This window comes from Homo sapiens, chromosome 13 (assembly GCF_000001405.40).
Source record: "Homo sapiens chromosome 13, GRCh38.p14 Primary Assembly".
NCBI classification, from domain to species: Eukaryota; Metazoa; Chordata; class Mammalia; order Primates; family Hominidae; genus Homo; species Homo sapiens.
Window position 1 is genome coordinate 35539737 of NC_000013.11, and position 18152 is coordinate 35557888.

Sequence of the window (18152 nt, forward strand, 5' to 3'; positions counted from 1 at the left end):
AAACCCCGTCTCTACTAAAAATACAAAAAATTAGCCGGGCGTGGTGGCGGGCGCCTGTAGTCCCAGCTACTCCGGAGGCTGAGGCAGGAGAATGGCGTGAACCCGGGAGGCGGAGCTTGCAGGGAGCCGAGATCCTGCCACTGCACTCCAGCCTGGGCGACAGAGCAAGACTCCGTCTCAAAAAAAAAAAAAAAAAAAAAAAAAAAGTGCACTAGTATTTGTAATACATGCAGTTTTCTTCAGGTTAACATAAAGAAATGTTAACTAGAGAAAAAAATATTTTTAATTAAGTCATATTTGACTATTGCTACAATCATTACTGCAACTCTACCCTGTAATCTTGTTTCATTCTGGCTGTATCTAAAATTTTAATATGAAATACTTTTAAAAAGAGAAAATAATTTGTCTCGACAATTTATAATATTTGTAAAATCAGACCCTATTACCTAATTAGTTAAAACAAAAACCTCTAACCCAGAAATCCAAATGATCTGAAACAGAAGAAAATAAATAAGTCTATAGAGAGAAGACATATAAATATAACTAGTTTAAAAAATTAGCAATATGCAGAATAATACATAGAGAAGTTAATGTATTCAGTATAGAAATGAAAGTAAATACTGGAAACTAGAAATTCGTTTATTTTCAGTAGTATAGAGTTCTGGTCTCCCCACCTCATCCCTTTGTAAAATAATAGCAGAGAGAAAAATAAAAGATTTTAGACTATGCCAAATTTGAGAAAATGAGGAAACATAGCCAAAGATACAATATTTACACAAGAACATTCATGAGTAGGACAAAAATGAAGCAACTGTGCCAGTATCATTTTTAATTTTGAGAGTTTTACCATGATTTGAGAGTATGTGTTTGAAGATGAAGTAGACACAGAGGACTCCAGCTGCAACTCAGTTTGTTTGTAAATTAAATTTTAAAATATTTTGCTCAACAAAAATTGAGTTCCTTCTCTGTGCAAGTTCTATAAGGAATACAAAAATAGAGTACAACTCAGTCTCTATCCTCATTAAGTCCATTTTTTAGGGGATGTATATAATAAGATAGATCAATTTAAAAGGACCTGCCACAATGTAAGAGATGCTATTGGAGAAATACAAATAATGCTCTTTTGAGTAGTTCCTGGTTCTTTACTAATGAATATAAAATACAATTCACATAGATTTGAAACAGTATTGCACTTCTCTAGTCCAAATAGCGTCTACCTTGCAGCCACAGCAGTGATTTCTAAAGTGCCAGTTTCATTGTCTCACCTCTTTCTTTGTTAAAAATCTTATAGCAGCTCTCCATTATTCTCAGACCAGAGTCCAAACTCTAATGTGAGTTATGAGATCTCGCCCCACATCCTGCTGCCCACTCACCCTTTGTTGTTCTAATTTTATTTTTCACCTCTCTGCTTCTTACAATATATGCACACACAGTCTGTGTCCGTTGCCCCCCCACCCCCAGCACTGTGTTTATGTATCTTTACATACATGTTTACATATGTGTTGTTCCTTCTGCTTGGTACTTCCTTTTTCCCCACTCCCCTGCCTTTTCCCATTATTTGTGATTTTCCACCAAACTGTGAACTCCTAGAGATCAGGGACTCTGCTTCTCCTGTTCACCATTGGTTCCTAATGGTCAGCTGATAAATATTTGTTAAATTAAAGGAACGGAAGAAAAATAAAATTGATAAACCATGAGGACACTTGGTAGAAAAGAGCTGACCTAATTATGGGCTGTTTATAAAATAGGAAGCCTTCTTGCAGTTTATCACTGCTTATAGTGAGACTGGTAGCTGGTGTCCCAAATAGTTGGGCTTCGTAGTTAAGAGTTAAGTGCTATGATTCCAATAATGTCTAGGATACAAACTACCACTAAAGAAACAATAAATGTGGCTTTTAGTTCAGTAAAAGGCTATGTGCTGTGGTCCAGATTTTCTACATCTGTTTTGGTGATGTCATCAACAAAGATTAGAACCAGAGGTCTGCATGGGTGTGTGTGTGTGTGTGTGTGTGTGTGTGTGTGTGTATGTGTTTGTGTCTGTACACATGCACAAAAAGGTAGGGAGTAATTGCAGTAGTAGGCTGACATTTGTTAAGCATTTCCTGTGTGCCAGGCACTGTGCTGAGCATTTTTTGAAAAGAGCTATTAATATCTCATTCAATCGCACAATGACCCCATGAAGTTAGGTACCATTATTTCTCCCCATCTTTAGATAAGAAAACCAAAACATCAAAAATCAATGAACTTGCCTGAGGTCTCACAGCTAGTAAGAGAGGCAGACCCAGGGGAAGCCTTAAGTCTAAGGTAAGCAGGTCCATAAATTGATGAATTAGAGAAAAAAAATCAAGATTATTAAATCAAAAGTTCTCTACGGATGGGCTGCCTATATTTCCCCCAATTGTAGGATGTTTTGACACCCCCCCCCCACCGCATACCCATATGCCCATGTACCAATAATGGCTGTGTTTATAATGGCATATAATAACATTCCTAAACACAGCCATTATAGCAACATTGTTTAATTTTCATTGAGGATGTATTTTCTGGAAAGCTTCATTTTTCCAGCTTCATTTCTTGATCATTTTTGTTTGCCTCACAGTTAAGCCATTTCCAATTTTTCCCGTTTTCAGTTTTATATTACTGAATTATTTTCATCAGGATTAATTCTTTTCCATGTAAGTTTTATGGAGTGACTTGGTTCTGTGATCAATCTTTTGGTCCATATTACATTTTACTGACTATAGTGCCTGCCCTTGACAATTTTATTTTGATGATAGTATTCATTATTAATTGAATAAAAGGCTAAAGTGAAACTCTTCTACCAGATATTTGAAGATTTCTTTATTGTGTAGGAGTGGTCTATAGCAGTTGTTCTCTAACTTTTTTTCACCAATTTTATTATAAAAGAATTTTATAAAGCTCTATACCACATTGCACATGTTTAAATTAACAGTTACAATTTTCCATAATTTTAAATATTTTAAAAAGACGTGATATCCAGTATGTTCTAAATATTACTATTTTAAAATAAAATTGTTATATTACTTTTCAGATATATCCAGTAGAATAAAATAAGTAGAGTAGTGATTGATTACTATTATCATCTGTTTTAAGATGTACAAATAAGCTCTTTTTTCAAATGAACATTTTATATAATTTCTCTCTTTGAACTCATACTTCCTTTCAATTCCTTCCCCCAAATTTACCTAATCTAAAATATTTGTGCTTGTGAGTCTTTTTTGATCACTATGTTATACTACTCTGCAAAAAGTGTATATACTTACTGATTAAAGCTTTAGTTTTTTAGGTTCCTAAGACCATAACATTCTAAGTATTTAAATTTTTTATTCTGAAATAAATTGTTACAAATATTATTAGCATACAGTCATACAACAGCATAAATATATTGTGAACTTTGAAAAATAATTAAGCATAAAAAATGAAATTATATTAGAAATTCATCTCTTAATGGGATGAATAGTTAACACATGCACATATGAATATTACTTATTGCTACAATAATACAGGAATCAATATTAGAGCTACTTATAACTTTCTTTTTTATAGAGGTGTTGAAAAATCTTGTTCACATAAGTAAACAGCATGTCGAAGTTGTATTATAGACAGTGTTATTCAGTGTTTTCTACTCTTTCCAAGTTGTGTGCTAAAAATCACATAAGGATCTATTGTCAGAAGTTATTTTTAATTATCTCTCAATTGACAGCCCATTTAGATCCAACTTCTCCTCTTTGAAAGTAAAGAATTGGGAAAACATCTGACTTGCAAAAGGATTTTTTTTTCAGTCCAGTCACTGGGAACATTCACTTTCCAATGCCTCCATCAGGTATTTCGAATCATCCAATTTGATGCTCCTACCCCTCAACAGATCTTATACTCCAGTCAATACACCATAGAGAAATACCATTTTTTATTTTATTTTTTAAGTGGGAGAATGGCAATGTGTTTTTCCCATCTCCTTTTTGGAGATGGGAAAGAGAACCTGTACTATCTTATGTTTCTCCATTTCTTTGGTAGGGAAATAGCATCACCAAGACATGTGGTGAGAGGTGGGAAGGGAGTGTTCCATAGCTGCTCCCCACATCCTCACTGCATGTGCCACACAGCAGGTATCAGTCAGACATGGTCTTCCAGGTGGTCATTTTGGAAGTCAAGCCTCTCCCAGTTTGTAGATCGACTTTCCTTCAGGGCCTTGGAATCTTCTCCATTCAGCTGACAGTTTAAAAAGAGCATGGATGATCTCATATGAGTGTGGACCTGAAATTTCTTTTGAACTATTCTTCTTGAATATATTTGCTGTAATCCTGAGCCATTGCCACAAATTCCAAATTTATATGAAATTATAAAAGTAATAGGGATTTGTAACTTTAAATTGCACCACAACAAGCTCTTTAATTAAACTGTTGAGGCTGCAAGTGTGGATTGAACGCGACAACCTTAGGAACTCTAAAAAGGGTTTGCCCAGCCTTCTGCAGCATTTTCAACAATTCGTAACAGGAAATTCAACTGGAAACAAAATTTAGATTTTTTTCGTATTCAAAGAAAAAAAATTTGTAATACTTGTGCTAATATATGCATTAGATGATTTGAGATCAGCAAAGCTATCACTAAACAAGTATTTTTTTAAGTTGCACAATATTTAGCTTCCTTAAAAAGAAAAAAAGGTGAAACTTTTTTCATCTGTGATTTGACAGTCATTTACATGTTTCTGACAACATATACATGTCCGATACGCATGAGTGCACAGCAGCCTTGTATTTTTCAACATGATCATCAGATAATATGTGGTAAGCACATATTTGAGTAGGTGGTTTACAAGGGATTTCTATGACATTTGTATTGTATTACTTTCTATGTACCTTACTTTCTATGTGCTTTCTATGTACTTTAGTTCATAAGTGAACTAAAATTCATAAGTGAATGGGGCAGACTTCAGGGTATGAGCCTGACATGAACTTTCTCCCTTCACTTCTTTTGGATATTAAGCAGTTAGCTCAGTATAGTTCAGTGGTCACTTAAGAAAATCACAAAGTTCCATAAGATTTGGGGTCAAGATGCTTTAATATTCTTGCTTATGATCTGTATGATGTATCAAAAATTATGTTTATTCAGTTCTCAAAAATGAAACTGGATGGGATAGTATTTGTTGATTAGATTTCATTGTATATTAAATACTTTGAAGAAACAGGCAGGCACAAGCTAGATGATATGGGAAGCTTGGCTTAAGAAAGAAAACAAAACCACAAACCTCAAGTATACATGAAAGTACTTAAATGACAGAAAAATATCTTGGACTATAATAAAAAGCAAACTGAAAGAATTATTATAGAATGTCCTTAAACTTATAGAAAATTATGTAACCAGTAAAGGTATAAATAAAGAAGACGATTTTATAGTATCAGGCCATATTTCAGGCCTGAGCTTGATGCCCAGATTTTTATAGAAATGTACCATAAACTCAGTATTCAACTGACTGTGATTGATATTCCTTTACATTTATGAAAGTTATACAGATTGATTAACTCATCACTTGCCTGAAGCAGCATCCCCTCCGGTCATTCTGCCCCCATCCCACTGCATTCCACTCTATCCTCCACATGCCTCCCTAGCGCTGTGCCTCAAATCTCACTCTGCCACCTTCCTGCTAAGCTTCAGGACTTTCCCAGTGCCTGTGAGCAGAGCAGGGTAACAGAGCCCTGGGGTATAGTCCAAGGAAGCCACAGTAATCACATGTATCTGAGTACCAGTGTTTTATCTTAACAATTCATTCATATTTGCAGTATTTTCCAGCCTGTGCTAATTTTACTACAAAACTGTTTTAAATTGCTTACCAGAAATAAAATTGATGCTCAAGAAGGGGTTCCAAATGATATTCTTTGACATACCTTAGTATACATTTTCCCATGTGAGAGGCGTAAGTCCATAATATCAAGTCAAAATTGCTTAGCCTAAAGCCCTTCCATAACTCCTCTGGAGTCAAGGAATCCTTTCATTGTAAAGGTAGTGTCTTCTCAGAATGGATCTAATCCAGTCGAAAGTTCCATGGTAGTGCAAATTAAACTACTAAAAAAGAGAAACCAGCTGTATTTAGATTACTGTTTTGGTTCTTGATTAAAGTCAGCAGGGTTGTTTGGTGGACTATACCATTAGGACATAAACATGAGAAGTCTGAAGGCCACATTGGAGAGAGCTTCTTCTGGTTTAGCAAAGGAGTCAAAATGCACATACTCTGTACAATTTCTTTAGAACCTTCCCCATATGTACTATTTCTATCAGTTTCCCATTGTGATTTATTAAACAAACATATATGGAGCACATATGTGCCAGACACTATTTTAGGCACTGTGTATCGAACAGTAAATAGGATAGATGAGAGTTCTATTCTCCTATTTGATGTCACAGGGAGGGGACAGACAAAAAACAAGTAAGAAAATTAATCATTTTCATGTGCAGAATTAAACAGTGATAAGATAGGCTGTGTGTTGGGATCACTTGAGGTCAGGCATTCAAGACCAGCCTGGTCAATGTGGCAAAACCCTGTCTCTACTAAAAATACAAAAATTAGCTGGTTTTGGTGGCACACGCCTGTAGTTCCAGCTACTCAGAAGGCTGAGGTGGGAGAATCGCTCGAACCCAGGAGGTGGAGGTTGCATGAGAGGAGATGGCATTGTTGCACTCCAGCATGGCTGACAGAATGAGACTCCATCTCAAAAAAAAAAAAAGAGATAGAGTTACATGATAACTCTTAAATTGTGTGTCAGAAAAGGCAGCTGAGAGGAGTAGATCTAAAATTATTATTAATTTTTTTTTTTTTTTGAGACGGAATCTTGCTCTGTCACCCAGGCTGGAGTGCAGTGGCATGATCTCGGCTCACTACAACCTCTGCCTCCCGGATTCAAGCAATTCTCCTGCCGCAGCCTCCCAAGTAGCTGGGATTACAGGCATGTGCAACCATGACCGGCTAATTTTTTTGTATTTTTAGCAGAGATGAGGTTTCGCCATATTGGCCAGGCTGGTCTCGAACTCCTGACCTTGTGATCCACCCACCTCAACCTCCCAAAGTGCTGGGATTACAGGCGTGAGCCACCGCTCCCGGCCTAAAATTTTTTTAAATAAAAATGTATTATGGAATGAAACTCTTTTTAAATAAAGAAATTGTAGGATCATCTTATTCCGTGATCAGTCTTGAAGGTAACAAGCAGGGAAAGCAGGAGGTGGTTTGCTATAAAAAAAAGAAAAGAAAAGAAAATGACCCTAGGCTCTATCAGGTTTTCCTAGCAGGGAATTATGGCTAGCTCAGAACATCGTCTTTCATCAGCCCTTTTAGGATTTCAGATGCTTAAATATAACATGGGTTATTGTAAAGTAATTAGGTAGGTTTTTTGAAAAGCATATAAGAACATACATAAAAATAATTTTTCTTCCCATGTCCCCTTTGGTAAGGGCTGAACACTTATTTAAATGATGTTGCCATTGTTCAAAATAGCTTTGGACCTTTGGATCTGTCTTTCAGAATTTGCTTCCTAAGCCATTTAGAAGCTACTAGCAAAATCATTTTCTTTTAATTTTGTTATCTCTCCTTGTCCTCTTTGCATTTAAGCTTTACTGATCTTAGGTTCCTTTTTTCTTGCTGCAGAGGGTCCCTAAGGACCATTATGCTCCCAGGCTGTAGCTAAGAGAATGGTGATAGGAAAACTGAGTTTGTGTATTAGCTGGGATCCAGTCAGGGGAGAGGAATCAGAGTGCAATTTAGATAGGAAAAGTGTGATACAATTATCATATAAATTATGCCAGGAGATTGAGTAACAAGGGACTGGCTAGTAAGAAATAAAGATAACTCTAAAGAATATTGGCCAGGCGTGGTGGCTCACACCTGTAATCCCAGCACTTTGGGAGGCCGAGTCAGGTGGATCATTTGAGATCAGGAGTTCGAGACCAGCCTGGCCAACATGGTGAAACCCCATCTCTACTAAAAATACAAAAATTAGCCGGATGGTAATGGCACGCATCTGTAATTCCAGCTACTTGAGAGGCTGAAGCAGGAGAATCGCTTGAACACAGGAGGTGGAGGTCGCAGTGAGCCAAGATAACGCCACTGCACTCCAGTCTGGGTAACAGAGTGAAACCCTGTCTCAAAAGAAAAAAAAAAGGGAATTGATGAAGCCATTTATGGGAGGTGTCCCAACAGAAACACTCTGCTACAGAACGGCTCGGGGTGAGGGAAGTACTGAGAAAACTGCTGGTCACTGGGTGCTGGGAGCATCATGCGTCCCAGAGCCAAGTGCTGGAGAACAGGCGCCTGCCAAGTGAGAACACCAGAACAGAGAAGAAAAAACACCCTTCCTCCTGTGTGGTCTCTTCAGTGCCCTTTCCTGACAAAGTTTAATGCTATGACAGGTAGCAAAGGAAAAATATTTTAAGGACACAGGTTCGTTTTCACAGAGCAAGCAATTAAGGGTGAATTTGCACATGGAAGGCCATAAATGAATAATTGGCACAGTTTATAAAATACAGTTTTACATGGTGCACTTAAGGAGTCAAACTAACATACTTTTTGGAGCTATCTGCTTGCTATAACTAACGTAAAAACTGATAACATGCTTAATGGAAATAAATGCTTGGTCAAATTTTCATTACACCATAGCTCCAGAAGGAAAAAATAAGTCAAAATATGACTCTGTGTGTGTATACACATGTGAGATATTAATATATCTGGACCTAGAAATATAGATACAGGTATCTTTCTGACATAATGCTATGGGTATAAGGGTGCCAACACAGCTTTCATGGGAAGATCTATCATTTTTTCTGATATTATATTCACTTTACTGTTTGGGTTTTCAAATGGCCATAGTATTTTTAGTACCTTAGTGAAATAATTATTATAGTTGAAGATAGATTTTGTTGTTGTGGCTGTTTTGTCTTAAAATGTTTCCTACTTGACAAAAAAAAGAGAATTAATCCTGTATCACTATCCCTTTCCTTTTTAAAAATCATACTGGTCTATGAAAATCAAATATGGAAACCATTATAGCCAACTAACAATTTATAAATATAAATTGTGGCAAGTCACTATAACCCTTTTGTGAAATGTACAAGAAGAAGTTTTGCATTTAGAAATCAAAAACCAATTGTCACCTGATGCTCAACAACAAGGAGACATAAATTCATCAATGGAACTTAATAGCCAGGGTCATGTACTTTATGTTCTTTGTCTCTGCTTAAACTAACCATTTCCAGGTATCATTATCACTGTTTTTCAGATGACAAAAACCAGATGGAGTTAAATAATTGTTTTTCAAAATACTGTAGTTGGTAAATAGCAGAGCCAAGAGTTAAGTAGGAGTCTGAATGGCTCCAAAATGTTTCAGATTTAAATAGACGTCTGACTGCCTCCAAAAACCTTTCAATGTCTAGAGAAAGACAAAAACTGAATTAAGGGTTACAAAATGGGATTTTCAAAAAATAAAGACCAAAAGATTATACACTTACATATTTTATGTATATTTCCTAGAGAAAGGAAGTGTAAAAAGGAACTTCATAACTTGTTTTCAAATGTATATATGAATATAATGCATGTAAAATGAATATAATGTATGTAAAACTCAGTAACTGTTTTCATTTCCACCAAAGCAAATATAAGTGCGGTAGAGTATACCACAGCAAGTAGAAAAGTCCCTCTGAATTGTTAATACACGTTGGTGTATCAGGAAGGAATGTGCTTGTTGTAGATTTGAGGACAGTAGCTTAATCAAATATAGATTATATACATGGTAACCAGAAGTCCAGATGTGGATGCTTGCTGTGATTGTTTCAGTAGCTCAGTATTAGAGCCAACCTTGGCCTTCCTCTCATAGTTACACAATTGCTGCTACAGTTTCAGCTATCATATCTCCATTCAAGCAGGAAGGGCAAAGTGGTATGCCAGCTATATATGACTCATTTCATCAGCTTTTCTCAAACATCCTCAACTGCTTTTGGTTTTGATCTCATTAACCAGTGCTTGGCCTAATGTCCTTCCACAAAGTTACAAGGGAATTTGGGGAAGCAGGGAATAACATTGTCAGGACTGGCTTAGACCATGGGTCAGCCAAACTCTGCCCTGGGGGCCAAATTCAGCTCATACTTGTTGTAAATAAAATTTTGTTGGAATACTTCCATACCCCTTTATTTACACATTGTCTATGGCTCCTTTCATGTTACAATGGCAAAACTGAGTAGTTGCAACTGAGACCATATAGCCTGCAAAGCCTAAATATATTTACTCTCTGGCCTTTTACAGAAAAGTTTGCTGACACCTGGATTAAACCAATCATGATCCTTTGCCTGGGGTTGACCATATGGACACTTTGGGGGTAGCTGGGCTTCCATTAAGCAAGGAAGGGGAGAAAGGATATTGGAAAGAACCAACAATATATGTCTCACAGGTGGTCACCTGGTCCAATTAATTATATACAAGACCCAAAAGTGATAATATATTTTCGGTTTTAAGTCACAGAGTCTCCTTGAATATGTTTTTCTACTCCTTCTTTTCCTCAAGACCCAACTAAGACACTTTAGAAAGGCAGAAATTTTGCAAATACACAGTATCAAATTATTGACAATGTTGTGACAGACAGTGAATTCATTTCTAGTTTTCTGACTTTTACTAAGTTACTGTCAGAGTAGATCTTAAATCCATATTTTATTGATTGACACTTCCCTTTAAACTGTTTATTTTAGGTTCTTGCATACACTGAGGGACTTCACGGAAAATGGATGTTCAGCGAGATACGAGCTGTATTTTCAAGACGTTACCTTCTACAAAACACTGCTTTGGAAGTATTTATGGCAAACCGAAGTAAGTCCCCTTAATATTTTGAAAGAAAATGTGCTCATATTTACATATTATTCATTTACATGGTATGATAATGTCTTGATTTTTCCTACTGTATTTCTGATGTGCTCTAGCTTAAACAAACAGAAATTCTTTTTAAAAAATAAAAAAAGAATGAATTTGTTTGAAATGTTAGCCCTAGGTTTCTCATGGATAAAGTTATACTGAAAGCTGATTTTTCATGAAGATTCATTAGCTTTACAAATAAATCATGATAGGCACTTGAAGATGACTTGTAAAATTGATGGCTAACTTATCCTGCGGTTTTCTAAACTCTGTTTTTTTTCTTCTTACCACAGCCTCAGTTATGTTTAATTTCCCTGATCAAGCAACAGTAAAAAAAGTTGTCTATAGCTTGCCTCGGGTTGGAGTAGGGACCAGCTATGGTCTGCCACAAGCCAGGTAATTATATCATATTACATATTATCTATGGCTTGTTAACATATTTCAATCTCAATATTACAGCAATGTAAATGTGGTTATAACATTATAATTATTTCAGAGACCAAAGAATTTTCTTTCTCTGAAGGTTATTTGTAGGGATAGAGATTATGAAAATAGCTATTTTGAGAATGACAGAATGGTTAGGGCAGATTTTTATTTAATACATATAAATAACAAAGTAAAAAACTTGATTGCTTATCACATAGCTAGCATATAATTAAGACATTCTTGCTTGTTAAAATCTTACAGGAAACATACCAAAAGCCTGAAGATCATAAATGATTAATTGCTATGTAATAGCATATAAATAATGTTTTTATAAATGCCATATATAAATGCTTCTTAATTAAAACAATAAAACCCTGAGAGTTTATTAAGGGTAATAGTCATTAATTATGGTATAGTTGTAACCACATTTCCTAGATTTTCATCTTGGTATTTTAGAAGAATCATTTTGAAATCTTATATTATTAAAAGATACTAATGTAAGTAGAAAACATAATCAGTAGTTACTTATATTGCTGATATCAGTTTGTCGTTTTTGGCTCGAAATAACTGAATACCTTACTAAAAGTGGCTTAAACTATAGGGGTGTGTGTGTTTAATATAAAAGATCTGGAGTTAAGGTGCTGCCAGTATTGGTTCAGAGGTTCAGTGATGTCAGAACCCTGTTGGCTTTGTATTCACAAAATCACCGCTACTTCTTCAGCTACTACATCTTCACACAACTGCATTACAGTAGGAAAAAGACACAAAGGATTTCTCTTTAAGCTTCTCTGTTTTAGGAAGAATGTATTTCTCAGAAGCCTAAAGCAATCTTTATCTTAAGTCCCTTTGGCCAGAATACAGTCACCTTCCCATTCCTAAAACAATCACTGCCAAAAAGGTGTGAGTTCTGTTGGCTTAGCCCAATCATTCCCTAGGTTTTATGGAAAAAGATACCTCTGATTCTTTGCCAGCTCCTACATGAACAAAAGAGGATTTCCGTTGATGAAGAACAAAGGGAGATTGACTTTAGGTAGATACAACAATGTCTACCACATAGACTGTTATGTCCTTGAGAATTATTACACAGCACTGTATGGATGGAAAGGAAAACTAATCTTTGTCTATCCTCCCTTAAATAGGCTACAGACAACTGAAAGACAGGGACTGTGTTTTATTTATCCTTTAATCTACAGGACCTAACACAGTGCCTAATTGCAGCAGTGCTTTTTAAGTGCTGTTTAGCTGGGGTTACCTTGTATTGCAACTTATCTATTCTCTTTAAGCTTACAGTGTAAGACCAATTCACTGACACGTATACACATGCTCAAGATATTTGCTAGTAGAATGACAAGATTAAACTAAGATATTAGTAGATAATGAAGCACTTATATAAAATACAGGTCAAAGAAAAATGCATTTCATCTATCAAAGAAAATGAGGTTAGTTCTGCAAGACTTGTTCTTATTGAATCTAAGCTGACTCATAATAATCATTACTTCCTTTCCCAAGTGCTTACATACTATTTGTTTAATCATCAATTCAAGAATTTACTCAGGAATTGACATTAAGAACTTACGAATGGGCCTAACTTTTTCCTATTTAAGAATAATCTCCTGTCTTCTGGCATATTTCTCAATGACCATGATTCCTGAAAGATTACTAATAGAGGTTTCTATATGGCATGTATAATTTCCCTCAGTATTCTTTGACTTGTCTGGACCGGAATTCATTTAAAACAATCAGAAGCTCTTTTATTTTATTTCTTACCTATGATGAGTATTGTTTCCCTTTTAACCACATTTGGTCTCTTTTTGACGTTTGGAAGATCATTCTTTTTTTTTTCTTTGAGACAAGGTCTCACTCTGTCACCCAGGCTGGAGTGCAGTGGCGTGATCTCAGCTCACCGCAGCCTTGATGTCCCCAGGCTCAGGAGATCCTCCCACCTCAGTTTCCCAAGTAGCTGGGAATACAGACATGTGCCACCATGCCCAGCTAATTTTTGTATTGTTTATAGAGATGGGGTTTCACCATGTTGCCCAGGCTGGTCTCGAACTCCTGGACTCAAGCAATCCACCCACTTAAGCCTCCCGAAGTGCTGGGATTACAGGCAACAGTCACCATGCCCAGCTGGAAGATGATTCTTTATAAGAAAACTGAAAACAAAAGGCAGCTCAGTAGTTTTGGTCTCTCTGTAATTCATAATGCCATTCTATCTTCAAACGTCCTTTTGTTGTCCTTGGCTTATTTTCCCCCAAAAAGCTCAACTAATTATTAGTTTCCTAATAATATTCTTACAGACTCAGTTTTATGTACTTCCCTAGATATACATCCTTAGAAGTACCAAGTGGCAATGGGGAAACACTGCATCTAGGCTTAAACCTGTCACTTAGCTGGGTAACAATAAGCAAGCCTCACACTTAGTAGCAATTCAATAAATATTGGTGGAAAGAATGAATAACACTACTCAAGCAGAATGACATTCTTATCTACCATAAAATGGGGAAAATATCTTTACAAGAGATATTCTGCCAGAGATATTTTGCAAGATATCTTTGCAAGAGATATTTTGATAATCTTTTGTGCTATGTACAAGACAATGCCTATTAAGATTCCATGTGAATACTCATGTTAATAATCCATGAGTAACAGAAATAGCCTTAAGTCTGTTGTTCCCAAACTAAACACGAAGGAGTCCTGCGATATCACAGTGAATTCTCAGGGGTGCTGCAGGTCATTTTTTAATTTTTTAGGGAAAAACAGCAACATTTGTCAGATACCACACAAACTATTTGCTCGAGTTAGTTCCAAGTTTCAACTTAGAATGATTAGATAGGGCTGCATCTTTTTCAGTGACACCTCTGAGAAACTGGTGTTTGGTGGCTACTGTCTTCAAAAACAAGAGCCATATGAAAAATCAGTGTGGAACAGGAAATGAGTGTGGTGGTGTCAGATCTGATTCCAAGGTTTCAGAAGCTGTGCAGTTTCCAACAGACATACACACCCCATTAGTAAATGTGGTTATTTAAGAATGAAATATAAATATTTCTCTTTAAGTTTATGAGTATTGTATTTTCAAATAGCTACTCAGTTGTTAAGATGTTAAATATTTATTGAGTTGTTAGAGCTAACTACTTAATAAACAGAATTGTAAGATATTTCTCTTGGTCAAGGAGCACTATGAAAAATTATGGAGATACTAAGGGTGCCATGAATTGAAAAAGTTTGAGAACCTCTGTCAATCAGTTTAAAAACCCAGTAGCTTTATCATACTTTTCTAAATACAACTGCTTTTGTTATTTTTAGATGAACACATTGAACCTGGAAAGTTTCATAATTTGGACCAATGATCATGGTTTATTCCCTTAGGCTGTTCCTATGTCCCTTCTTCTGGACCCATGCATTTTTTCAAAGTTCCCAGTTGTTTATATTTTACACCATTGCAGGGATAGATATTGTACGGGCAGAGGCTGTGCATGTGTACACACTCTGTGTGTGTGAAGGCAAGTCGAAGAAGTTCATTGATAGACATTAAGTCAAATGCATGTAAACAGGTACCTGACTACCTACCTACCTACCTAATTAACATGGAGCAGATTTGCTGTATTGTTTAAAAGCTACTTGATTTATCTTAAGTATAGTTTTACTTTTTTTCTTGTGGATTTGTGACTCATTTGCAGCTGTGATTTGACAAATAAGGTTGCTTTCAAATTGTTTTATCCTGAGTAATTAAGTGTATCTTCTCTATAATAGAATTCTCAAATATTGCTAATTTCTACAATTAAAATATATTTTCTAATTCATCTAAGAAGGATAAACCATAAATTATTTTAAGTTGATTATCAAAGCAATATATTAGTTAATATTGGATTTTTTAAAGTTATGAATTAAAGAGACTATGTTTGTTATGCTGTGCTTAATTGCTAGGAGGATATCATTGGCCACTCCTCGACAGCTTTATAAATCTTCCAATATGACTCAGCGCTGGCAAAGAAGGGAAATTTCAAACTTCGAATATTTGATGTTCCTTAATACTATTGCAGGTAAGATGTCTCATTCTTTAATCTAATAATATGTTTATGTTCATCAAAATCATGGTAATGTAGCCTGATATAATACATTTTTCTCTTTGGAATTCAAATGCATCATTAGAGTAAATTTTGAAGCACTCACATTAAATTTTATCAGAAACTGTGCAAGCTCATACCAAACTTTTAGATGCATTTATTGTTGAAGAGGCTTTTCCTTGCTTTCCTTCTGCCATTTCCTTTGCTGACAGCTTTGTCTGAAGGTTTATTAGAGTCAACAAACCATTGCCAGAGTGTCTGGAAATAATAATGGGAAAAGTAATTTCACTACTTTGTCATTCTCAGCAATAGCAGCTAGACAGGAGAATAACAACAGGATTCTGCCTAGTACAGATGTCACCTGGAATATGGCATGATTAGGTTACAGCATCTTTTTTTCTTAAAATCTTCAAATAAAAATACAAAATCAGATTACATTTTCTAAATTATGAGTAACTGCCATCAACCTTTGCAGTACCATGCTTGCAAATCAAAAGGAGGTAGTGGCTTTGTTTTCTGCTAAATCAGTGGTTGTCAGTGGTTAAACATGTCTATGAGATTTAAGTACTTCATCTTTTTTCTTAAGTTAAGCTCCAAAAGCCCTTATTCATGATGAATTACAAAGAGTTTACTTCTATAAACCAGGCTCTACAAAAAGTTTTTGCAATTAGATGAATTCAAATAACCACATAAATAAAGGTGCTTACCATAATTATTGTTTTGTTATGAATGAATGCTCACAACCGTGTATTTAGAGCTGTGTACTTCTCTGAATCATTACTTTAAAAATATAACTATGTAATATTACTCTTTTTTAATCTATCATACATAAGTGTGACTAAAGATACTATAGGTATATATTAAATGCGGGTAATATAGATATGTATTAAATAGACAAAACTTGATTTGTCCACAAAAGGGAATAAAGCTATTTGATATATTAAAATGCTTTTTCACTTTAATCCCAATACATTCATGTATATATATGTTCATATATACATGCATTTATTCATATGTGTAGTACATACACATATATATCTTGAATAAACCTGTTTACTCCCTCAAAGATAAAAGAAATGTGTTATACTATTTAATTAGCACATTATTTATAAATAGAATGAATTTAAACATCTGAAATGTAAAGAACTTAATTTCATGAGCATATTTAAGTAAATAGCATGGTGTAGCAGAAAGAACACAACTTTCAACACCAAAGAGAAGAGGGAGAGAATCCCAGATCTGCCAACTTTCTGTCCTGGAGCATAAGTTGAATTTTAACTTTTAACTCTATCGTGGACTTTTAATATTTTAATAGCAATATTTAATATGTTTACATCTGTTTTAATAACTGGTATGTTTGGTCTTATATCATCTTGTCTTATACTTTTTTTTAATGTCCTCTTGCTTTTTATATTGTTTGTTCTCTGGCTTTACGAATGCTTTTTTGCTCAGTGCTCTTGTGATTTAAAATGTAAGCACCTTGTTATTAATTCCCCTAGAGATATTACATTTTTAAAAGCCTTATAAACTATTTTTCTTAATTTGAACTCAAAAATCAATTAACATTTTTAAATCATACCTAAGACAAAAACTTCAACTCAATTTTATTTCTCATTCATTGCTTATATTCGCAAATATAAATTACTAGCCAGAATCCAGATTATTATTAACTTCACACTCTGGGGTCTACGTCTTTTTGCAAATTAAGAAAGATTTCAAACTATTGAAATTATGTGTTCATGCAGTATATTATTTTCAGCTATATGGATCTTTACCTGATTTTTCGGGATGATATTCTCTGTACGTTCTTGTGTAACAGTTTTCCATATTCCCTGTATTAGGTTTTTATATTATCTGCTCTTGAGAGACCTATCAAGACAGTATCATTAGACACCATTAGGTGATTTTTTTTCCCTTGGCTGTGCTAGCTATTTGGAGCTGTTGGATATAAAACTGGAGGGCAGGGTGATATACCTCACTTGTAGTTCAGTTTCCAATGTAGCAGGCATTCATATTAAATGGTTTTCCTATTCTAAAATGAGATTTTCTCCAGGCTCTGGATGGAATGTTTTCTAGTTCATTGTTTTAAAGGTCTCTTCTAGTCTCCATCCCTTCCCACTGCATTTTACTCATGTAAGGTCAGTTTCCCACAGTGTGGTACAGTACCACCTATAACTACCACCCACTTCATGCCTGTTACTTTCTGGGAGTCTCTTTATCTGTCCAACTCTGGAAAGGTTGCTGTGTCTAAATCTGGATAGAGATAACATTGTCATGCCTTCTAAAAGTTACACCTGAGCAGTATAGAGCCTAATATGCTTTTTTCTATTTGGGACAATCTTTGGGTTTCTGAGCCAGAGCATGCAGACTCTGGTGGGAATTTAAAAGCATCTTGCTATTATTGTTTGAATCGTTGAAGTCTGTTTTATTTATAACATGAAGATTATATGGGCCACTGATTTTTTTCAAAAATTACTGGGTACTTCCTTTGCAATTATTATGACTAAACATGAAAGCCTGACTATTGTAAGCAATGGGATAAAAATTAACAATAGGGACTAGGCACACAGAACACTTACAGTCTAGATGAATAAGTGAAATACACGTAAATAAGACATTTTAAGATGGCTGATAGTAAATGCTGAATCATTGCTATCGTGAATGCTGCATGAGCTTAGCAGAGGGGAGGCATTTTAAAATGTGTTTGGGGAGAAAAAAAGAGAAGAGCTTCACAAATTTCTGCTAGTTGTATATATATGGTG

At 35.3% G+C, this 18152-nt stretch overlaps 1 protein-coding gene across 15 annotated transcripts in view, besides 1 other annotated feature; it reads left to right on the top strand.

The window, feature by feature from the left end:
- Positions 1 to 18152, top strand: part of NBEA (neurobeachin) — a 730467-nt gene that overhangs the window by 597467 nt on the left and 114848 nt on the right. For all 15 annotated transcript variants that reach the window (XM_047430271.1, NM_001385012.1, XM_006719803.4 and 12 more), the window contains 3 exons: positions 10741 to 10858; positions 11194 to 11296; positions 15251 to 15366. In XM_047430271.1, coding sequence (XP_047286227.1) covers positions 10741 to 10858; positions 11194 to 11296; positions 15251 to 15366 — 337 coding nt within the window. The remainder of the gene's footprint in view (positions 1 to 10740; positions 10859 to 11193; positions 11297 to 15250; positions 15367 to 18152) is intronic.
- Positions 12716 to 13010: a silencer, noted in NCBI's record as "tiled region #14935; HepG2 Repressive non-DNase unmatched - State 24:Quies, and K562 Repressive non-DNase unmatched - State 24:Quies". NCBI's record gives its function as "represses a minimal TATA promoter and a strong SV40 promoter by Sharpr-MPRA in HepG2 and K562 cells {active_cell/tissue: HepG2 | K562}" and the evidence as "EXISTENCE:reporter gene assay evidence [ECO:0000049][PMID:27701403]".